General features: G+C 37.1%; 1 protein-coding gene across 1 annotated transcript in view, besides 2 other annotated features; it reads right to left on the bottom strand.

Annotated features, from left to right (window-relative positions):
• NWD2 (NACHT and WD repeat domain containing 2) overlaps positions 1 to 21407 on the bottom strand; it is a 204721-nt gene that overhangs the window by 158516 nt on the left and 24798 nt on the right. The gene's annotated exons all lie outside the window — the stretch shown is intronic.
• Positions 12000 to 12169: an enhancer, noted in NCBI's record as "experimental_78938 CRE fragment used in MPRA reporter constructs". NCBI's record gives its function as "activates a minimal promoter by MPRAs in K562 erythroleukemia cells, with activity observed for both the introgressed and non-introgressed 4:37280486 variant alleles {active_cell/tissue: K562}" and the evidence as "EXISTENCE:reporter gene assay evidence [ECO:0000049][PMID:34662402]".
• Positions 20550 to 20719: an enhancer, noted in NCBI's record as "experimental_78906 CRE fragment used in MPRA reporter constructs". NCBI's record gives its function as "activates a minimal promoter by MPRAs in K562 erythroleukemia cells, with activity observed for both the introgressed and non-introgressed 4:37271936 variant alleles {active_cell/tissue: K562}" and the evidence as "EXISTENCE:reporter gene assay evidence [ECO:0000049][PMID:34662402]".

The following is a 21407-nucleotide window of genomic DNA, read 5'->3' as shown; positions in this document are numbered from 1 at the left end:
TTCCTTAATTCTAGGACTCCTTAACTCTACACCTCTCAGAACTGCTTCTTGCTGAAACAACTGTACAGCCAACTTCCAGTCAAACTCAGAAACTAATTTAAAAAGTCAGTAATTCATCTGCGGAGTGAAGAGCAAAAATGATGATGGCTCACCCTGTCAAATGCCCTTAGCCTCTCATGAGAAATGTCATAGGAACCTATCTGACTGAGCCCATTCCTTTCTGCAGACTTCACCTTTTACTGCATCCCTCTTTGTTATCTACGTTCCATTTCCATTTTTCCAACATGCCATCTTTCTTCTTAGGTGGTTTCCACACATCTGTGGTCTAACTACTGTATGTGCCTTTAACCAATGCGTGCTCCTACTTGTCCTTTATAATTTGCTTAAAGGCAGTTTCTCTTGGAAGCCTTTCCTGACTGCCTATAACTTCCCAGAAGGACTAAGTTATATCTGCTCAAATACACTCCCATAACACTCTGCACTTCTGTGATATCGTCACACTTACAATCAGTAAGGATTGCCCTCACCTCTACACTGAAGCTCTTGAGGGCAGGAACCATGTCTATCTTGTTCAGGGCCATATCCCCACTGCCTGGCACAGGGCTATCTACATAGTAGTGGCCCAATACATTTTTTAAAATATAATTAATGGTTAATAGTTATTGGTTTATGTGTCAGTCTCCCTTACTGGTGCTTCTGCATGTTTTATCTATCTTGGTATTGTCTATGTTTATCCTAGAGCCTGGTACAGAGTAAGCCCTTTAATAGATGTTGGCTAAATTTATCTCTGAAATGGTGTGCACATCTAATTTCTTAAGGACAGTGCTGTGCAAAGACCCTTGAGGCCCTCCTTTCCCTTTTGCTTACTTTCAACTATGAGAAAGGGCTTAGAAGATGGCTGGATTGTTAGGCAAAAGGGCAAATAAGCCACCAGAAGAGAAGCGAAATAGCCTCAGAAAGTTAGACGGATGTGAAAATGAAAAATAGATTGTTCATTCGACCTTCCAGCAGGGTACCTAGGCATACAGTCAAATCTAACCAACAACTCCGGAAAAAAAAAGCCTTTGCTGATAACTGGTTGCCTGAAACTAATCTGTTGGAAGAAAATCATAAGAGTAGTTGCCTCTAGGGGTGAGGAGTGGGACTCACTAGGAGGGGATATGAAGGAAATTTGGGGGATGAGAAAAATGTTCCATATTTAGCTAAAGGTTTGGGTTATATTGACATAGGCATCTGACAAAAATCATCTCATAGTACACTTAGGATTTGTACATTTCACTGTGTAAATTTTACCTCAAAAGACAAATGAAGAGAACCGTAAACAAATATTGAAGTGTATTTAATGATATGCATGCTAAAGTGTTAAGAGCAGAATACACTGATAATTGCCATTTACTGTGAAATACATATAATAAAAATAAAATATGAATGTAGAGATAAACACATGATATGGCAATATGTAAAATGTTAATTGTAGAATCTTGGGGGTAAGTATATAAGTGTTTACTGTACAATTCTTTCAACTTTCCTGTAATTTTGAAAGTTTTTATCATAAAATGTTGCCAAAAAATGGTTGGTTGGCCTCATGTGGTTGTGGGCACATTAGTATCCAAAAGCTAAGTACTGACTTGTCCCAAGGGAGTGCTTCAGCTATGAAAAGTCAGAAATTATATGAAAATTTCCAATTTATATCATCCCAAACTAGATTATCATTTGGGGTAGTAAAATTTGAATACTACAACCATGTTGGTGGTATTTATTAAAAAATCCAACACTATTTAGGCACTAGCTTGAATTAGAGGTTAGGAGATTCATTATGAGAAGTCACTGACAATCTCAGGGATTAAAGAGAAACTGAGACAAAACTAAAACACTAGATGTAAACCATATGTGCAGTTAATATAAACATAATATTTGAAATGTAAATAAAATATTTAAATGTAAATATTAAAAATATTTTAAAAGTCAATTACTAGTATATTTTATAGTCAGTTATAGGCAATTTATAACTGTTGTTTCCCTAGAGCTCAGTTTTATTTAAATAATAACCGATTCATCCAGTATAATCATGTCCATTCCATTATGTTCCTAAAAGGATTTGGGTTCAGTTGATCTGGTTTTAAAAAAACAAAAACCAAAAAACAATGAACTACCCCCAAACTCAGATCTATTGTTTACCATTGTTTAATATATGCAAATGGGTAATTCACAACAACAATTTCTACTTTTCTACAAACTCTGCCACTGTGCATATGGACCCTGACAGAGGAGGCAGAAGAGATTCTGAAGCCTGAATTCTCTCCCAGAATGTAACCACTAGACTTCCATGGAAACAATAGTTTGCTGATTAAATTTCTGCACATGCTGTCCTGAGATATTAATACATAAATTAGGTTGACAATTAGAAGCACTATGAATAACATGTTCAATTTGACAGCTTGGCTGTTGTAATAAATTTAACAACTGTTTCTCCCTCTTGCTGTATTCATTTTCACCTTGGGGTTAAGTGATACTGGCTAAAGTAATCCTGGAACAAGAGGCATTTGCAGAAGGCTAAAGTGTGAAATTAATTTTCCTTGCCTTGGCTTTATCTTTGTTGACATAAAGGATCCACATAAAATATTTCGCACTAGAAAATACTCTATCTTCTTTGTACTGATTTTAAGTTTTACTTTTAAGTTCTGAGATACACGTGCAAAACGTGGAGGGTTGTTACATAGGTATATGTGTGCCATGGTGGTTTGCTGCACCTATTGACCCATCCTCTAAGTTCCCTCCCTTCAACCCCTAAGAGGCCCTGGTGTGTGTTGTTTCCCTCCCTGTGTCCATGTGTTCTCAATGTTCAACTCTCACTTACGAGTGAGAACATGTGGTGTTTCATTTTCTGTTCCTGTGCTAGTTTGCTGAGGATGATGGTTTCCAGCTTCATCCATGTCCCTGAAAAGGACATGATCTCATTCCTTTGTATGGCTGTGTAATATTCCATGGTCTATATGTACCGCATTTTCTTTATCCAGTCTATCATTGATGGGCATTTGGGTTGGTTCCATGACTTTGCTATTGTAAACAGTGCTGCAATAAACATATGTGTGCATGTATCTTCATAGAATGACTTATATTCCTTTGGGAACAGGACCCATTAATGAAGCACTTTCACTGTCCTTTGGTGGAAGGGGTGTGCTTCACTAGGGGGAAATCCACTTGTCTGGGCTGCCCAGATTCCTCAGAACCATCAGGAGGAAAGGCTAACTCTGCTTGACTGCAAAGACTGCGGCCACCCCTCCCCCTAGGGGCTCATGCCCAGGGAGATTTGGTTTCTGTCCCTGAGTCTCTGGCTAGAGTTGTTGGAGTTCTTGCAGGGAAGCCCTACCCAGTGTGGAAGGATGTGTCAGGGTCAGGTCTGAAGAGGTGCTCTGGCCACCGTATGCCACAGCTGTGTTGGGCTGTGGGGAACACTTCTTGGGGACCAAGCCATCCAGTCTCCCTGGCTCCAGCAGGGTAAAAGTGCAGCCTGGAGCTATAGAGATGGATGCCACCCTTCCCCAACCCAGGTTGCTTAGTATGTTAGGCAGTTATGAGTCCCAGTGCTGGCTGCTGCCCCCCGTCGCAAAAAGCTCAAAAGGCTAAGGCAGCAGGCAGCTACAGCTGTGGTGCTGGTTGCCCCTTTCCCTGGGAGCTCTGCAGGCTTAGGCAGATTCCAGCTGAGAGGCTGTTGAGAATCTGAGCAGCTCCAGGGTTGGGACCCTAGGCCCCGGTAGCATGGGTTTGAGTGGGATCTTCGGATCCGTGTTGCACAGTTCCATGGAAAAAGCACAGTTTCCCTGGCTGGGTAGCATACTCACTCTGTGCCTCCCTTGGCTGGGGGTTGGGGCTCCCCTGCCCCATGCGGCTCTCAGGTGGGCCACAGTACCACATTGCTCTTCCTTCCTCTCCATGGATCACGTCAGTCACCTCGTCAGTTCTGATGAGAGAACCTGGATACCCTGATGACCGGTGAAGGATTCACACGCTAGTTATGGTTCTTTTAGATGGGAACCTCTGATTGCCACTGTTTCTAGTCGACCATCTTGGCCCCGCACCCCATGATTTTTTTTTTCAATGTGATTAAACTAAGTTAAGATTTGTGAGAATACAAGCAGTAAAAATTCATATTCAACATTTATTAAGACCCTCCTTAGGAACTGCTCCAGGTACCTTCCCACACACTGGTTCACCAAACCTCATGAAAGCCCTGTGAAGAAGGTATCATGATCTCTATTTTACACATGAGGAAACTCACAGTTGCTAAGTAACTTGCTCAAGTGCACACAAGTTGGCTACTGGTCAGTTCATGGCTTAATCCAGGCTACACACTACAGGGCTTGTGTTCTTTCTACTGACCCCAACACTGATTTTTAACTTTTTGCTTTCTCTTCCCCATGCAATCATCTTTGCACATGCATATTTAAATGCAAATTGGACCTCCATTTGATTAACATATAAGTGAGTATCTTGTGAAGATACTTTCCAATTCAGGGTTCCAAGGGTCCTGTTCCCTGGAATGTAGCATGCATGGCAAGAAAGAGTTAATATATTACTCCAAGCTAACTCAAGCATTAAGGAAAACTTGACCCAATAAGCACAAGTGTAATTTGGATGATATTTCAACTCTAGGATATTTTGGGAATTTCAGCATCATTACTGTTACTGTTAACAGAAGTGCTAAGAAAGTAAGGATGAGTCTCTAAAGCTGATCCTAGTTAAAACACCGAAAATGATTAACTTACCCAATCATATTAGAAGTTATTTTTAAAGGTAGCAATAAAAGTCTATTTGAAAATAAACATTATGCCTCTTTAAGTGATACTCTGTGATGTTACATCCTACTTGTTCAGTCAACTAAACACAGAAAATTGTTCTCCTTGGATCTGCATTGGCAAGACGTTTAAATGCTTCAGGTGCACACATATGGCCTAATGTCAGTTGGTGTCATGATTCTAACACCAAGTTGCTTCAAAATTTTCACACATATCTGATGAGTCTTCAAAAATCAGACTGAAATTCTTTTCAGTATAAGTGACACTAAAGTAACTTTTAAAAATTCAATCATCTGAATGGAATAGTGATACTCCCTATTTAATGAGAACCACAGAATTTTCTACATATATACTTTTGATTTAAAAAATCAAGTTACTATAAACTTTTGCATAAAATGTTCAATGGAAGGAAGCTAAAATATATAGACATGTATTAGAACCCTAAATAAAGTAAAAATATATTAACCAAACCTAATTTAGAAAGTATTACCCAGCTCAAATGAAACCAAAAAGTGTATATGCTTTTCCAAAGAAATTAATTAAATGTTAAGGAATAGCATCCTTCATTTGGACAGCAGTTAATAAAATAAAATTTGTGAGAACAATCCCCAATCATTTTTCAGTTGATTCCTAGGTACTTATAAAAATTATCAACGAGGACTGCCCTATTGTCTTTTTCTATATTACTATAAATATATTATTATATTGTGTATTATTAGAAGGCCTTAGAGATCAGCCAACTTTAATATACGGGAGAAAATTTCAGAATAATTATTTACAAATATATTTTGGCAGCCGCAGTGTTTTCTCTAACAATTCCAAAGCTATGTAAAAATAACCAAATGTTACTGAATTACAGGGAACACATGTTAGAGATAATTTAGGAAAAAAATGAAAGAAAAGGACTATTCCTATAAAAGTTACATAGTGTGTTGGAACGTTCACAAGAGTCATATGAACTAAATTTGAGTTCTGCCAATAATTACTGTGACTTGACGTAGGCTTCAGTTCCTCACAGGTAAAATGAGGATGTGGGGAGTGAAAGGGGCTGGGTGTAGAAACGAGTGTTAACATTGTATGGTACTGACGGTCATTTACAGTTTCAAGATTAAAAAAAAACTCATCCCTACCTGTACTTACACATAGAAGTAAATATCTAGTTGTGAAGTGGGGCTGGAAGAAGCAATTCATGGGTAAAACAAATACCGAGGGTGTCATCCCTGAAGGCAGGTAGGCCAAGTACCCTACGGAGGCATCCCATCATTTCTGCCATCAGCCTTCTTTGACATCCCTCACCAGAGGACTCTAGCCATTGAAGGGACACAAGGAGAGTGCACAGCTGAAGAGGCACAAATGTGAAGCCTGGTTCTGGAGGAAAGTCAACTACAAGGGCTATCACAGCATCCCGAGAACTAGATACTCACTGTGTTTGGGCAGAGAGAACTACATGCACCTCATCTGTTCCACTCTTCCAAATTGAACAATGTCTTCCTTTTACTTCCTACTTTTAAGCAATTCATGCTAAAAAGGAAGTCTCCTGCAAATGGGCCATAGAAGAGCCATTAGATACATGGTGTCACCCTAGGCTGAAGGAGATACTGGAGATCCAGGGCTCTGTGGGGGACTCCAACAGGCACTGGAGGAGCCAAGGAATGAGGGTCCCTCAAGATGGGCTGTGGGGTCCTGGGGCTCATCGAATATTCTGGACTCTGGATGGGATAGCTCTATGGTCTGAATGTTTGTGCCCTTCCAAAATTCATATGTTCAAATCCTATCATTCATATGTTCAATTACTCTCACCTGAAGGTAATAGAGGGAGAGGCTTTTGGGAAGTAATTAAGTCATGAAAGTAGAGTTATCCTGGATTGGATTAGTGACCTTACAAAAGAGAGAGTTCTGTTGCTCCTCCTACCATGTGAGGATGCAACTACCATGTGCCACCTACGAACCAGAAAGCGAGCTCTCACCAGACCCCAAATCTGCTGGCACCTTGATATTTGATTTCCCAGTCTCGGCAACTGTGAGAAATACAATTTTGTAGCTTATGAGCCACCCAATATATGGTATTTTGTTATAACAGTCCAAACAGACTAAGATAAATGGTCTATACTGATTTATAACAATTCAGTACTAATGACCTTCCAGAGGATATTGTCAAATATTTTTAAAAAGGAATTTACATAAAATGTTTTCAGTATTTCAACTGCATAGAATGTATACAGTAAACAGATCAAGGGCCACCTCCTTAAGTGATGAGAAAACTGAAGCCCCAAGAGCTTAGGAAGCATTCCTCAGAATCCAGATTTCCTGACCTCACTCAAGAGCACATACTACTACAGCACACAGAATGGCCCTAAATATACTCCCCAGAGATACTGGTTTTCTTAATTATCTTATACTCCTCAGATACTACTGAGATATCAAGAAAAATCTTGGTCAAATTATCTGAGCTCCCACTACTACATATAAATTTCTATGTGATCCTCATTAATAAAAGGTAAGTCCCATTTTTTTCAGAAATACAAGACTTACACACTGTGGGGTCTTACCCTGTTAAGAGTTAAATCACTGATACTAACGGTACAAGGCTTTTAGAAAGATGTAAAACTCCTAAGTTCAGGAGGTTCAGAATTTTAATAAACTGTAGTAATAAGTGTACATTTATAATTTATTGAAACATTGACCCCTATAATTATCATAAGACAGAACTAAAATCTCCCAGTGTCATTAAGAAGGCTTAGGTAACATATACAGACATACTGAATTTAAAAAATTAAAACAACATTAAAGAGAACGTAAGTGCTATCTTTCAGAAATTATTGTGTCTGTCAAAAAAGCTGGATGGTCCTCAGGGTAATTTTTTCCTAAAGCCATAATATATTGATTCTTATATCCCTCCATAGTTGGATAAAACAGATTGCTTTGTATTAAAATATTACCAATATGAATTCTGATAATTTACACATTTTTACTGGGAGAAGGCTTTTCTTTGGTTACAGAAGACTGGATTTAAGGTGAGTTCAGTAGAAATCATGGTGAGTTCAGTAGAAATGACAGCAATGTGCCACAGCTAATGGCTCAGAGCCTCATGTCAGATGGGACAGGGTGTGAGTCCCTGGTGCGACAACACACCAGCTTTATGACCTTGAGGACATACTAAAGTTTAAGCTTCAGTGTCCCCAGTAAGACAATAATTGTACTTTCCCAATAATCTGTAAGTTACATAGTAATCATGCAAGGTCCTGGGTGTTATAAACAGTACCTGTTATAATTACATTATTTCCATCTATCAGTTGATTTGTTTCACACAACAATGCTAAAAATAAAAAAAACTAAATACAACTTTGATGATTGTGGAAATGGGAGCATTGAGAGGTTAAATAAATTCTCCAAGGATACTCATGGTGTAGCTTTACTCACTATCTTCGGTAAATGTGTGTAACCAGAACCCAGCAAAGAGACACTAATGCCCCAAAACATAAGATAGAGGTAGGTTCTCGGAGCATGCCTAGCATAATAGCTGGAGCTAAATACCCATCAAATAAATACTGAATATGAGTGATGGAACTGTGGTTGACTATTTTTACAACTCAAATTGTGCAAGGATTCAGACTGACTGGAAGGTCAATGGATCTGATTTACTGAATTACTGTTTATTTAACAGGGAGACAGTTTACTATTTTTATACCTACAAACTCTATTTACTGTGCAAAAATAGTATCAGAGCAGACTAATAGTCTCAACATGCTTTTCTAAGCACTTAAATTACTTCAAGGCTGGGAAGTAAAGCAGGCTCAGGGGAAAAAAACCCATTGTTATTCTGCATTTTTTTTCCTACCTCAAGAATAAAATATAGCTATAATGCTATCAATTTATCAGCAGTTTCTTTTTCGATATAAATAGTGGAATGCACACCCTATTCTTAAGGTCTTGGGGTGTTTGATTTTTGTAGTGTTTTTCATTTTTAATAGCCTTTCATAGAAAGAGCTGTTGCTTTTTACATGAAATATGCTAGTGATTTAAAGTTGAGAGGCCATTGAGTTATATTACTGAACACTAAAGGTCTATGCATAATTGCTCTAAAATATTGGCTGATATAAGCAAAATTATACTGACTATAAAGAAGAGAAATCCTGAAGATTGTGTATGTACAGAAGAGATGGATCTTTCTGTTTCTTCCCGGGGAATCATAAATATCATGAAGGCTTTATGAAGCTATGTTTAGCCATACTTTCTCAATTTAGATACTAGAGTGTTATTGTTTGTGTATTGAATACAGATTAAATTATTTATAACTGTTATGTCCACAAATTTGTTTAAAATAATTTGATTGTAACCATGATTATCGAAATGTTAGATAAAAATATATAAGAAAATGAAATTTCTTTATATTGATCTCACCATTATCTTAATAACGTTAAGTTCCACACTACCTAGCTCAAATACCATCTCCACGACTTACTTATGGTGTGACCTTGAGCATGCTACTTAAAATTTACTGGACTTGGTTTTCTCATATATGAAATGGGGACGCTAACAGGACGAATCTCACAGGGTTAGTAAGAGAAAGAACGATTTAACACATATATAGTACTTAAGCGGAGAGATGGGTCCCAGTTCTCCTCCTCCTCCCCCTTGTCTGTCTTCTCTAGTTTTCCTTAATAGGTTCATAGAGACATGGCTTAAGGATCTCTTTCCTTTCATCCCATGAGGACTATGAGGGTTGGAATTGAGTCTTTATCTTACCTTTATATTACCTATTTTTAACAAAATATCTGATACATAGCAGCTTTTCAAAAAAAAAATGTAGATTCTACTAAACTCCCCAACTGGCCCCAGGAACACTTTGCGTGGTTCAAAAGAGAGGGGACCACAAACTGTCACACGAGGACACCCACTGGGTAGTTTACCAGAGAGGTGATGAGATCCTTCCTAGGAAAATCTGAACTGGAGTCCTGCAATTGACATGTATGCTTTCCTCTTTTGTGATCACATTTGATTTTGTTGTGGTTGTTTTTAACCATGTCCCCCCCTTGGACTGTCCCTCAGAAGCAGCATTCCAAACTAGCAACAAAGGTTAGCTTTCTTCCCTTTGCCCCTCCAGACCCACTCCCCACCCTCTCTACCTACTCTCTCCCACAGCCAGGAGGCTAATCTGTACAAAGGACACCAATGGGTTTCCTACTCCTCCAGCTTGCTGTGATGTATGCACCCTGTGAGCCACAGCACCAGGCCACAGGGAGAAAGGAGAGAGGTTATGGTCTTTATTCCCCAGGGTCTTAACCTGTAGGGACATCTCATATTTGCTATGCTATGTCCCCTTAGGGTGCTTTCTCTAATTCTGTAAATGCACTTTCTTCTGGGTCCTTTGGACCTGGGGCGGTAACAATTCTACTATTGTTAGCCCCGGGGTGCTGTACTATCCCTTGCAATTTCTTTCTATTCCTCTCAGGGCTTTGCTGACAGTCCCCTTTCTTAAACCCTCTAGAGTTAACCTAGCTTGAGTGTACCATCTGCTTCCTGCAGGAACCTTGACTGACACAGTACAGAGGTCCTTAAATAATGTTGTTTCAATCAATGTCGCTTCCTTATAACATTGATGAGAAAAAAAATATTGATTCCCAGCAGGAGTCTGCACGTTCTCCCTATGTCTGTGTGGTTTTTCTCCCGGATATCCTGTGTCCCAAAGCTGTGCCCATTAGGTGAACTGGCATGTCCATGTGGTTCCAGTCTGAATGAGTGTGGGCGTGAGTCATCCTGCCATGGGATGACCTCCAGTGCAGGGCTGGTTCCCACCTTGTAACCTGAGCTGCCAGGATAGGTTCTGGCCACCCAAGATCCTGAACTAGAGTAAATAATGATCTTATTAGTCTTTCTTAAATATATGTATAGCTCACATTTATTTCAATGTTTAATATTAGAAGTGTTTTGGTTTTTATTTAGAAGTTTGGTGATGTTTTTGTGGCCAGAAATATGTCATAGGAACTTAACTCTTACTTATATCAATTCGCCTGTGGTAAAACAGTCTCATTATGTGTTCTCTCACTGAAGTTTCAGTTTCTGCGAATCTACTGATGACATTAGGGGAGGACTTTCTGTACTCTGGATATATAAAGGGAAAACTCTAAAAACAAGTGTCATGCTTTCTCTGGCTCTGCAGCCATTTAGCAACCACTTGTTCTCTTTTATGCCAGGTTGGGAATCAAAGGCTTTCCCCTCACTCTTGTCAATCTCTCTATGAATTATGAAATGATAAAGGAAGGCTTCTCTATTCATTCTTCTTCTCCTCTAGGGAATTCTCTTATGAGAAAAGATTTCTACCATAACTTAGGAATAATTTCCTACTTCTTGTTTTTATTTTTTATTTTTGGTTTAGTTTTATACTTTTTAGAGGCATTTCATTTGATTATATTCTAGAGTTAATGTTTAGGCTTAGCTATAGGTGATAATATAATCTGCATGTAAAGTGATATCTTTTTCAAAAGGAATTTTGCTCTGCAATACCATAACTGATTTTTGCCAGGGAAGAATAAACTTAAAAACATGTCACTAACAAGATATATAAAGTAAAATATTATTTTCAAGATAATGCAGATATAATGGAGATGCTTCTACTTTTGAGTACTTTTCACTGCATATTTCTTGCAATTCATTCTAGATGTTATAGTAATTTCAGAACACATTTGGAAAAATCAACTGATATTCACTTACAATGAATTTCTGTCTCTACATATGATTTCTGGAGATTTCACTATGGAATTATGGCAATGAACAGTAAATTACTATGTTAACTTTTTACTCTCCTACAGATCTAGTGTTACTGTTACGTAATACTTTTTTGTTGTTCCAAAACCAACCCTTCCATTTGGTGAGTAGGATTTTCCATTGAAGGCTCTATTCCTTCATTATCTGTTTATTTTGGCTTCCAAATGGACTAACATTTAAAATAAAAGCAAACAATTGAAATATGGAGCTAGAAATCTATAAAGCAAGGTGAATAAATAAAGGAACTTGCCACAGATAGACCTAAAACCAAAAAACTTCACAGCAAATTGTCTTTTCCATTTAAAAGTATGTGTTTTTTTTAATCAACCTTGTGTATTTCTCTATCTTATTTTATTCTTTCTTTGCATTCTGTCTTCCTTCTGTGGACATTATTCTTGATGTTGTACTAAAGAATCAAGTATAACAGAGGTGAATGCTTATATAATACTAAGTCAGTTTTGCACTGTCTTCTACAGGGGGTTGAGTATGCTGCACTTGGCAAAACTGTGTACCCTTCTCTTTTAAGGAAGGAGGTTTAAAAGGGTGAAGAGTGAAATATGTTGAATCTTTGGTAGGAAAGTCAGAAATCGGGTTAAATATTTACCTTTTAGGTGTATGCGTTTTGGGAAATGGCCCATTTCTCTTTGGCTATGGCCTGGTCCAGTTCATCACACTGATAAATGGCCCAAGAAAATGGTGCTGGTTTCTATGAAGGTTCAGGGGCTGGTGGATTGATCAAAACCCTCACAAATGCAGCAATGCATTTCAAGATTGATTCAAGTACTGCTTTCCTGATATACCACTTTTCATTGATTTCTAGCTACATATCTCCTCACATTTGAAGAAAATGTGAAGAAAACTTACAATTAATGGTGTCTCACAATTGCTGTTGTCCAGTATGGTTGATATGAAGGTTCCACCAGGTTAGGGTAAGCCACGAGGCTGGCATTTTATCTGCGTAAATAAAGGGGCTCACCTGACTTGCAGTGGTGGATGATGTCCATTCCCAGTGACATGTTTCGTGGACATAATAATCTCAACAGTGGACAAGTAGTAAGTGCCAATTGTTCTTCTCACCCAAGGTTGTAGTCATGGTTGGAGAAATCATAATTATGGCTGAGAGCACATGCAGAGAGCACCAGAATACCAACTCAAGCTATTCAGACACTCCTAACTAAACCTAAGGTTATGTAAATGGACCTTAAAGGGCACAGATAAAAGTTAGAGCAAGATTTAAAACAGTCTGAGCCTTAAATGCATTACCCATCCCATACACACAGTCATTGACAGAGGACTTACTCACAAGGTGGTTGAATATGACCTCTCACCACCAAACTACACAGACATATGAGATGACCCCTAGGAAAACTGACCTAAAAATTAAAGAAAATACTTACATCTTTGTCTCTGTCTATACATAAACTGAGCAAAGATATCAGTGGAATCATACTGCAGGGCAGACAGATTTCAAAGAAGTAGCTTAGGCAAGTTACTACACAATAAACAACAAAAGCAGAAAAAAAACAATAATCTTCAGGGAAAAATATAAAAATACAGAACTATTACAATATGTTAACTAGAATGACCAGTTTTCACAAAAAATTGTGAGATATGCAAAGAAACAGGAAAGTGTGACATATACTCAAGGAAAAAAGTAGTCAGTAGAAACTGTCTCTAATATCCCTGATATTAAAGACTTGAAAGAAGTTGTTATTAATGTAAAAAAAAGGAAACCATTTTTTAGAATGGCAAAGTATGTCAACAATAAATAGAGATAATCAAGAGGCAGCTGAATTTTTTTTTAAATTTAGAGTTGAAAATTACAATAACTGAAATAAAAATTCCCCAGAAATCACAATAGCATACTTGAGATGACAGAATAAAAATAATCAGTGAAATTAAAGAAAATATTCAATCTGAAGAGCCAAGATTAAAGACAAATGAACCCAAGCATCAGGGACCTGTGGGACATCAAACATAGCAAACTATGTGGGAGTCCCAGAAGAAGAGAAAAAAAGGCAGGGATAGAAAATATTTTGAAGAAATAACAGCTAAAACGTTCCAAATTTGATGAAAAATTAATTTGTGTATTAAAGAAGCTCAATGAGACACAAATACAAAGAGATTCACACCGGGACATGTCATAGTAAAACTCTGGAAAGCCAAAGACAGAAAACTCTAAACACAAAGAAAAGCAAAACATCTCATACTGCAGAGGATCGGTACAATTAATGGCTGACTTTTTTTTTTTTTAATTATACTTTAAGTTTTAGGGTACATGTGCACAATGTGCAGGTTTGTTACATATGTACATGTGCCATGTTGGTGTGCTGCACCCATTAACTCGTCATTCAACACTAGGTATATCTTCTAATACTATCCCTCCCCCATCCCCCAACCCCACAACAGGCCCCGGTGTGTGATGTTCCCCTTCCTGTGTCCATGTGTTCTCATTGTTCAATTCCCACCTATGAGTGAGAAGATGTGGTGTTTGGTTTTTTGTCCTTGAGATAGTTTGCTGAGAATGATGGTTTCCAGCTTCATCCATATCCCTACAAAGGACATGAACTCATCATTTTCTATGGCTGCATAGTATTCCATGGTGTATGTGCCACATTTTCTTAATCCAATCTATCATTGTTGGACATTTGGGTTGGTTCCAAGTCTTTGCTATTGTGAATAGTGCCGCGATAAACATACGTGTGCATGTGTCTTTATAGCAGCATGATTTATAATCCTCTGGTTATAAAGGATATAAAGGATTTATAATCCTTTATAGCAGCATGATTTATAATCCAGTAATAGGATGGCTGGGTCAAATGGTATTTCTAGTTCTAGATCTCTGAGGAATCACCACACTGACTTCCACAATGGTTGAACTAGTTTATGTTCCCACCAACAGTGTAAAAGTGTTCCTATTTCTCCACATCCTCTCCAGCACCTGTTGTTTCCTGACTTTTTAATGATCGCCATTCTAACTGGTGTGAGAGGTTATCTCATTGTGGTTTTCATTTGCATTTCTCTGATGGCCAGTGATGATGAGCATTTTTTCACGTGTCTGTTGGCTGCATAAATGTCTTCTTTTGAGAAGTGTATCCTTTGCCCACTTTTTGATGGGGTTGTTTGTTTTTTTCTTGTAAAGTTGTTTGAGTTCATTGTAGATTCTGGATATTAGCCCTCTGTCAGATGAGTAGATTGCAAAAATTTTCTCCCATTCTGTAGGTTGCCTGTTCACTCCAATGGTAGTTTTTTTTGCTATGCAGAAGCTCTTTAGTTTAATTAGATCCCATTTGTCAATGTTGGCTTTTGTTGCCATTGCTTTTGGTGTTTTAGACATGAAGTCCTTGCCCATGCCTATGTCCTGAATGGTATTGCCTATGTTTTCTTCTAGGGTTTTTATGGTTTTAGGTCTAACATTTAAGTCTTTAATTCATCTTGAATTAATTTTTGTATAAGGTGTAACGAAGGGATCCAGTTTCAGCTTTCTCCATATGGCTAGCCAGTTTTACCAGCACCATTTATTAAATAGGGAATCCTTTCCCTATTGCTTGTTTTTGTCAGGTTTGTCAAAGATCAGATAGTTGTAGATACGTGGCCTTACTTCTGAGGGCTCTGTTCTGTTCCATTGGTCTATATCTCTGTTTTGGTACCAGTACCATGCTGTTTTGGTACCAGGACCATGCTGTTTTGGTTACTGTAGCCTTGTAGTATAGTTTGAAGTCAGGTAGTGTGATGCCTCCAGCTTTGTTCTTTTGGCTTAGGATTGACTTGGCGATGTGGGCTCTTTTTTGATTCCATATGAACTTTAAAGTAGTTTTTTCCAATTCTGTGAAGAAAGTCATTGGTAGATTGATGGGGATGGCATTGAATCTATAAATTACCTTGGGCAGTATGGCCATTTTCACGATATTGATTCTTCCTACCCATGAGCATGGAGTGTTCTTCTATTTCTTTGTATCCTCTTTTATTTCATTGAGCAGTGGTTTGTAGTTCTCCTTGAAGAGGTCCTTCACATCCCTTGTAAGTTGGATTCCTAGGTATTTTATTCTCTTTGAAGCAATTGTGAATGGGAGTTCACTCATGATTTGGCTGTTTGTCTGTTATTGGTGTATAAGAATGCTTGTGATTTTTGCACATTGATTTTGTATCCTGAGACTTTGCTGAAGTTGCTTATCAGCATAAGGAGATTTTGGGCTAAGACGATGGGGTTTTCTAGATATACAATCATGCCATTTACAAACAGGGACAATTTGACTTCCTCTTTTCCTAATTGAATACCCTTTATTTCCTTCTCCTGCCTGGTTGCCCTGGCCAGAACTTCCAACACTATGTTGAATAGGAGTGGTGAGAGAGGGCATCCCTGTCTTGTGCCAGTTTTCAAAGGGAATGCTTCCAGTTTTTGTCCATTCAGTATGATATTGGCTGTGCATTTGTCATAGATAGCTCTTATTATTTTGAGATATGTCCCATCATTACCTAATTTATTGAGTTTTTAGCATGAAGGGTTGTTGAATTTTGTCAAAGGCCTTTTCTGCATCTATTGAGATAATCATGTGGTTTTTGTCTTTGGTTCTGTTTATATGTTGGATTACGTTTATTGATTTGCGTATGTTGAACCAGCCTTGCATCCCAGGGATGAAGCCCACTTGATCATGGTGGATAAGCTTTTTGATGTGCTGCTGGATTTGGTTTGCCAGTATTTTATTGAGGATTTTTGCATCGATGTTCATCAGGGATATTGGTCTAAAATTCTCTTTTTTTGTTGTGTCTCTGCCAGGCTTTGGTATCAGGATGATGCTGGCCTCATAAAGTGAATTAGGGAGGATTCCCTCTTTTTCTATTGATTGGAATAGTTTCAGAAGGAATGGTACCAGCTCCTTCTTGTACCGCTGGTAGAATTCGGCTGTCAATCTGTCTGGTCCTGGACTTTTTTTGGTTGGTAAGCTATTAATTATTGCCTCAATTTCAGAGCCTGTTATTGGTCTATTCAGAGATTCAACTTCTTCCTGGTTTGGTCTTGGGAGGGTGTATGTGTCGAGGAATTTATCCATTTCTTCTAAATCTTCTAGTTTATTTGCGCAGAGGTGTTTATAGTATTCTCTGATGGTAGTTTGTATTTCTGTGGGATCGGTGGTGATATCTCCTTTATCATTTTTTATTGCATCTATTTGATTCTTCTCTCTTTTCTTCTTTATTAGTCTTGCTAGCGGTCTATCAATTTTGTTGATCTTTAAGAAAAAACAGCTCCTGGATTCATTGATTTTTTGAAGGGTTTTTTGTGTCTCTATCTCCTTCAGTTCTGCTCTGATCTTAGTTATTTCTTGCCTTCCGCTAGCTTTTGAATGTGTTTGCTCTTGCTTCTCTAGTTCTTTTAATTGGGATGTTAAGGTGTCAATTTTAGATCTTTCCTGCTTTCTCTTGTGGGCATTTAGTGCTATAAATTTCCCTCTACACACTGCTTTAAATGTGTCCCAGAGATTCTGGTATGTTGTGTCTTTTTTCTCGTTGGTTTCAAAGAACATCTTTATTTCTGCCTTCATTTCGTTATGTACCCAGTAGTCATTCAGGAGCAGGTTGTTCAGTTTCCATGTAGTTGAGCTGTTTTGAGTGAGTTTCTTAATCCTGAGTTTAGTTTGATTGCACTGTGGTCTAAGAAACAGTTTGTAATAATTTCTGTCCTTTTACATTTGCTGAGGAGTGCTTTACTTCCAACTATGTGGTCAATTTTGGAATAAGTGCGATGTGGTGCTGAGAAGAATGTATATTCTGTTGATTTGGGATGGAGAGTTCTGTAGATGTCTATTAGGTCTGCTTGGTGCAGAGCTGAGTTTAATTCCTGGATATCCTTGTTAACTTTCTGTCTCATTGCTCTGTCTAATGTTAACAGTGGGGTGTTAAAGTCTCCCATTATTATTGTGTGGGAGTCTAAATCTCTTTGTAGGTCTCTAAGGACTTGCTTTATGAATCTGGGTGCTCCTGTATTGGGTGCACATATATTTAGGATAGTTAGCTCTTCTTGTTGAATTGATCCCTTTACCATTATGTAATGGCCTTGTTTGTCTCTTTTGATCTTTGTTGGTTTAAAATCTGTTTTATCAGAGCCTAGGATTGCAACCCCTGAAGGGCTCACTTCTTATCAGAAGCAATGAGGGCTAGAAGGCTGTGGAATGACATAATGAAAATGCAGAGGGCAATAAAAAAATCTGTTAAACTAGAAAAATTTATATCCAGCAAAAGTATCCCACAAAACAATAACAGCAAAATTCTACAGATAAATACTGAGAGAATTTGCTGCTAGTAGACCAGCCTTAAAACAAACACTACAGAGAGGCCTTCAGGATAAAATGAACTGACATGACAGTAACTTGAATCTATTGGGTGAACTGAAATACCTGAGCAACCAACTCAACCTAACTGACATTTAGAGAGCACATCACCTAATGTGTGGAGAATATACCTTCTCTTCAAACATGGAGCATTCTCCAGGAGATAACATATGCTCTGCCATAAATGCTTACATCAGAAAGGTGGTTTACACTCAATAATCTAAGTTCTTGCTGTAAGAAACAGAAAAAGGGCAAATTAAACCCAGCACAAGTAGAATGCAGGAAACAAGAAAGAAAGCAATGAAATAAAAGGCAAATAATACAGAAAATATAATAAAAAATGGTTGTTTTAAAATAAGATTAATAAATAATATTTATATCATTTGAAAACCGATTAAGACAAAAGGAGAGAAAAATCAGTACCTGTATCAGTAATAGAGGGCATGCCACTAGGCATCCTATATATACCAATAAAATAAAAAACGAATATGCACAATTTTATGCTAACAATATCAACAATTTCAATAAAATAGACAATTTCCCTAAAAATATGAATATAACAGAACTGTTGCAAGATAAAACAGAAAATCTGACTTGTACTATATCAAAGAAACTGAATTATAAATTCTCAAAGAAAACTGCAGCCCAGGTGGCTTCGATGGTATATTTTGTCAACTATTAATGAAGAAATAATATTCACCTTACACAAACTATTTTTTTAAATAGAGGTGGTAGGAACACTTCTCAACTCATTGTATGAGGCTCTGGTACCAAATGCAGACAAACATATTATGAGAAAACTACAGAACAATATCCTTCCTGAGAAAACAAACAAAAAGATCCTTAAAATATTAGAAAATTAAACACAGCAATATATAAAAAGGTAATATTAATACATCACGACCAAGTTAGGTTATCTGAAGAAGAACAGGTTGCTTTAACATTTGAAAATCAAAAATGTACTTCACTGCAGTGACAGAATCAAGGAATAAAAAACATATAATCATTTCCAATCACACAGAAAAGACCTGCAATACAATTCAAACCGATTCATAATAAAAGTCCTCAAAAAATCAGGAATATATGGGAACATTCTCAATCTGATAAATGGGCACTACAAAAAACCTACAGTTAACATGATTTCTTAGAGTAAAATACTGAACTGGGTAATTTGCTACTAGTAGACTTGCCTTACAACAAACACTATAGAGAGTCCTTCAAGATAAAAGGAACTGACATGTCAGTGACTTGAATCTATCGGGTGAACTGAATAGCATGATAAACTCAACCAGAGATTGGAAACAGGAAAAAATGTCTGCCCATCACTTTTGTTTAACAACTTATTTTGGAGTAAAATAAGTGGATGTAATAAGGCAAGAAACAGAAATAAAATGTGTGAAGACCTAAAAGGCAAAAGTGAAACTCATTCTAGATGATATGGTTTTGTTTCTAGAAATACTGAGAAACTTACAAAAGAATTATTTGAACTCATAAGTGAATTTAGGAAAATCACAAGGCATTTAAGGTCAATATAAACATCAACTCTATTTTTATATACTAGAAGTAAAGATTGATACAAGATAATTCCACTTGAAATAACATAAAAATTTAAAATACTTAGCAAATAATTTAACAAAAGATGTGCAAGATCTCTTTCCTGAAATCTACAATACACTGTTCAGATATCCACATTCATGTATTAAAAGGCTCAATATTATTTGGATATCAACCATTCTTAAATTCAACTTCAGATTTAATGGAATCCCAATCAAACTCCCAGCAGGCTGTTTTATAGAACTTGACAGATTTTAATATTTACATGGAAAATTAGAAGATCTTGGATAGCCAGAAGAATCTGGTGGGAAAAAATAGAGTGGATGGACTTACACTATCTAATCTCAAGATTTACTATAAAGCTACGGTAATCAAGGCAGTATGGTAATGGAGTAAGGATAGACCAATTGACCAATGGAACAAGACTGAGTCTAGAAACAGATTTCACACATATACAGTGAACTGATTTTCAACAAAGCTGTCAAAGCAATTCAATGGGGGAAAAGAAAGTCTTTTTAACAGATGGCACAAGGACAACCAGATAAATGTATAGAAAATGAATCTCAACTTTTTGTCTTTTACCACATGCAAAAATCCACTCAAACTGGATTAAACCTAACAGCTAAAGTTATATAGTTTCTAGAAGAAAACATAAGAAAATAATTGCTACTTTGAAATAGGAAAAGATTTCTTTGTGCTAAAAACCACTACATTTTGAAAAAAATGATAAATTTGTCACCAAAATTAAAAACCACTTCTCAAAAAAGACATCATTTAGGAAATAAAAGGGATATGTACCAGACTGTGAGAAAATATTAGTATGTATATATGACAAATGACTCACACCCAGAATATATAAACAATCCTACCAATCAATAAAAAAAGACAAATGACCCAATTAAAAATGAGTCATGATTGTTCCTAACGTGAATATCTGGATGTTTCAGTTGAAGGTGCTGTATTTACTTGCTCCTCTCATTCCTCTCCGTGGGAGCCATGCACCCTAGCTGCTTGTCGTAGGCCATCTTCGGATATGAGAAGATACTGACTTGACTCTGGACAGGGAAGCTAACCAGACTGAACTGTTATCCTTTGGGGATACAGTATAAATGCTTTTTTCGAATAGAGAATAGCCTCACCACTTTGCAAACACATTATTACTGTTTGAAGTTTAAATGGGATATAGTTATTCATTCAAAAATTAATTTTTAAATACCTCTGTGCCTGGATATACTATTTGATTTGGTGTATCTTGAATTACGCTAATAACTATTCCTGATATGAGCATGGTTAACCTTATTCAAGTTGTATAAAATAACTTCTATTATTTTATAACATAGAATGGTTATTTTTTAAAAATGAGTCAAAGATTTGAACATATACCTCAGAAGAAGATATATAAACAGCAAATAAGAACAAAAAGATGCCCAATTTCAGTACTCTTCAGAGAGAAGCAAATTAAAGCCTCAGTGAAACATCACTTCATACTCACTAGAAGACCAACAACACCAAATAATATAAAATATCTGAATCTCACATATATTGCTGATGGGAGGGCAAAATGGTACAACCAGTTTCAGAAATTGACAGTTTATAAAATTAAACATCTAGCTACCCTTGGAGCTAGAAATTCCACTCAGAGGTATTTAATTAACAAGTGAAAAAATATAGAGACTCTCTAAAAATGTTCATAACAGCTTAATTCATGAGAGCAAATACTGGAAACAACCTAAATGTCCATCAAAAAGATAACGTGTAAACAATGTGTGGTGTGTTCATAAAACAGAACAGCACAGTATTCACCAATAAAAACAAAACAAATTATGGATAAGAATGAACTACTGATACACACCATAATAAATCTTCAAAACCTTATGCTGAGTGGCAGGACCCAATGTAAAAGGTACCTATGATTCCATTTCAATGAAGTTCTAAAGCAAACAACTATCAACGGTGAGAGAAATCA

This window comes from Homo sapiens, chromosome 4, assembly GCF_000001405.40.
Source record: "Homo sapiens chromosome 4, GRCh38.p14 Primary Assembly".
Lineage (NCBI taxonomy): Eukaryota > Metazoa > Chordata > Mammalia > Primates > Hominidae > Homo > Homo sapiens.
This window is presented reverse-complemented; position numbering and strand designations above follow the sequence as displayed.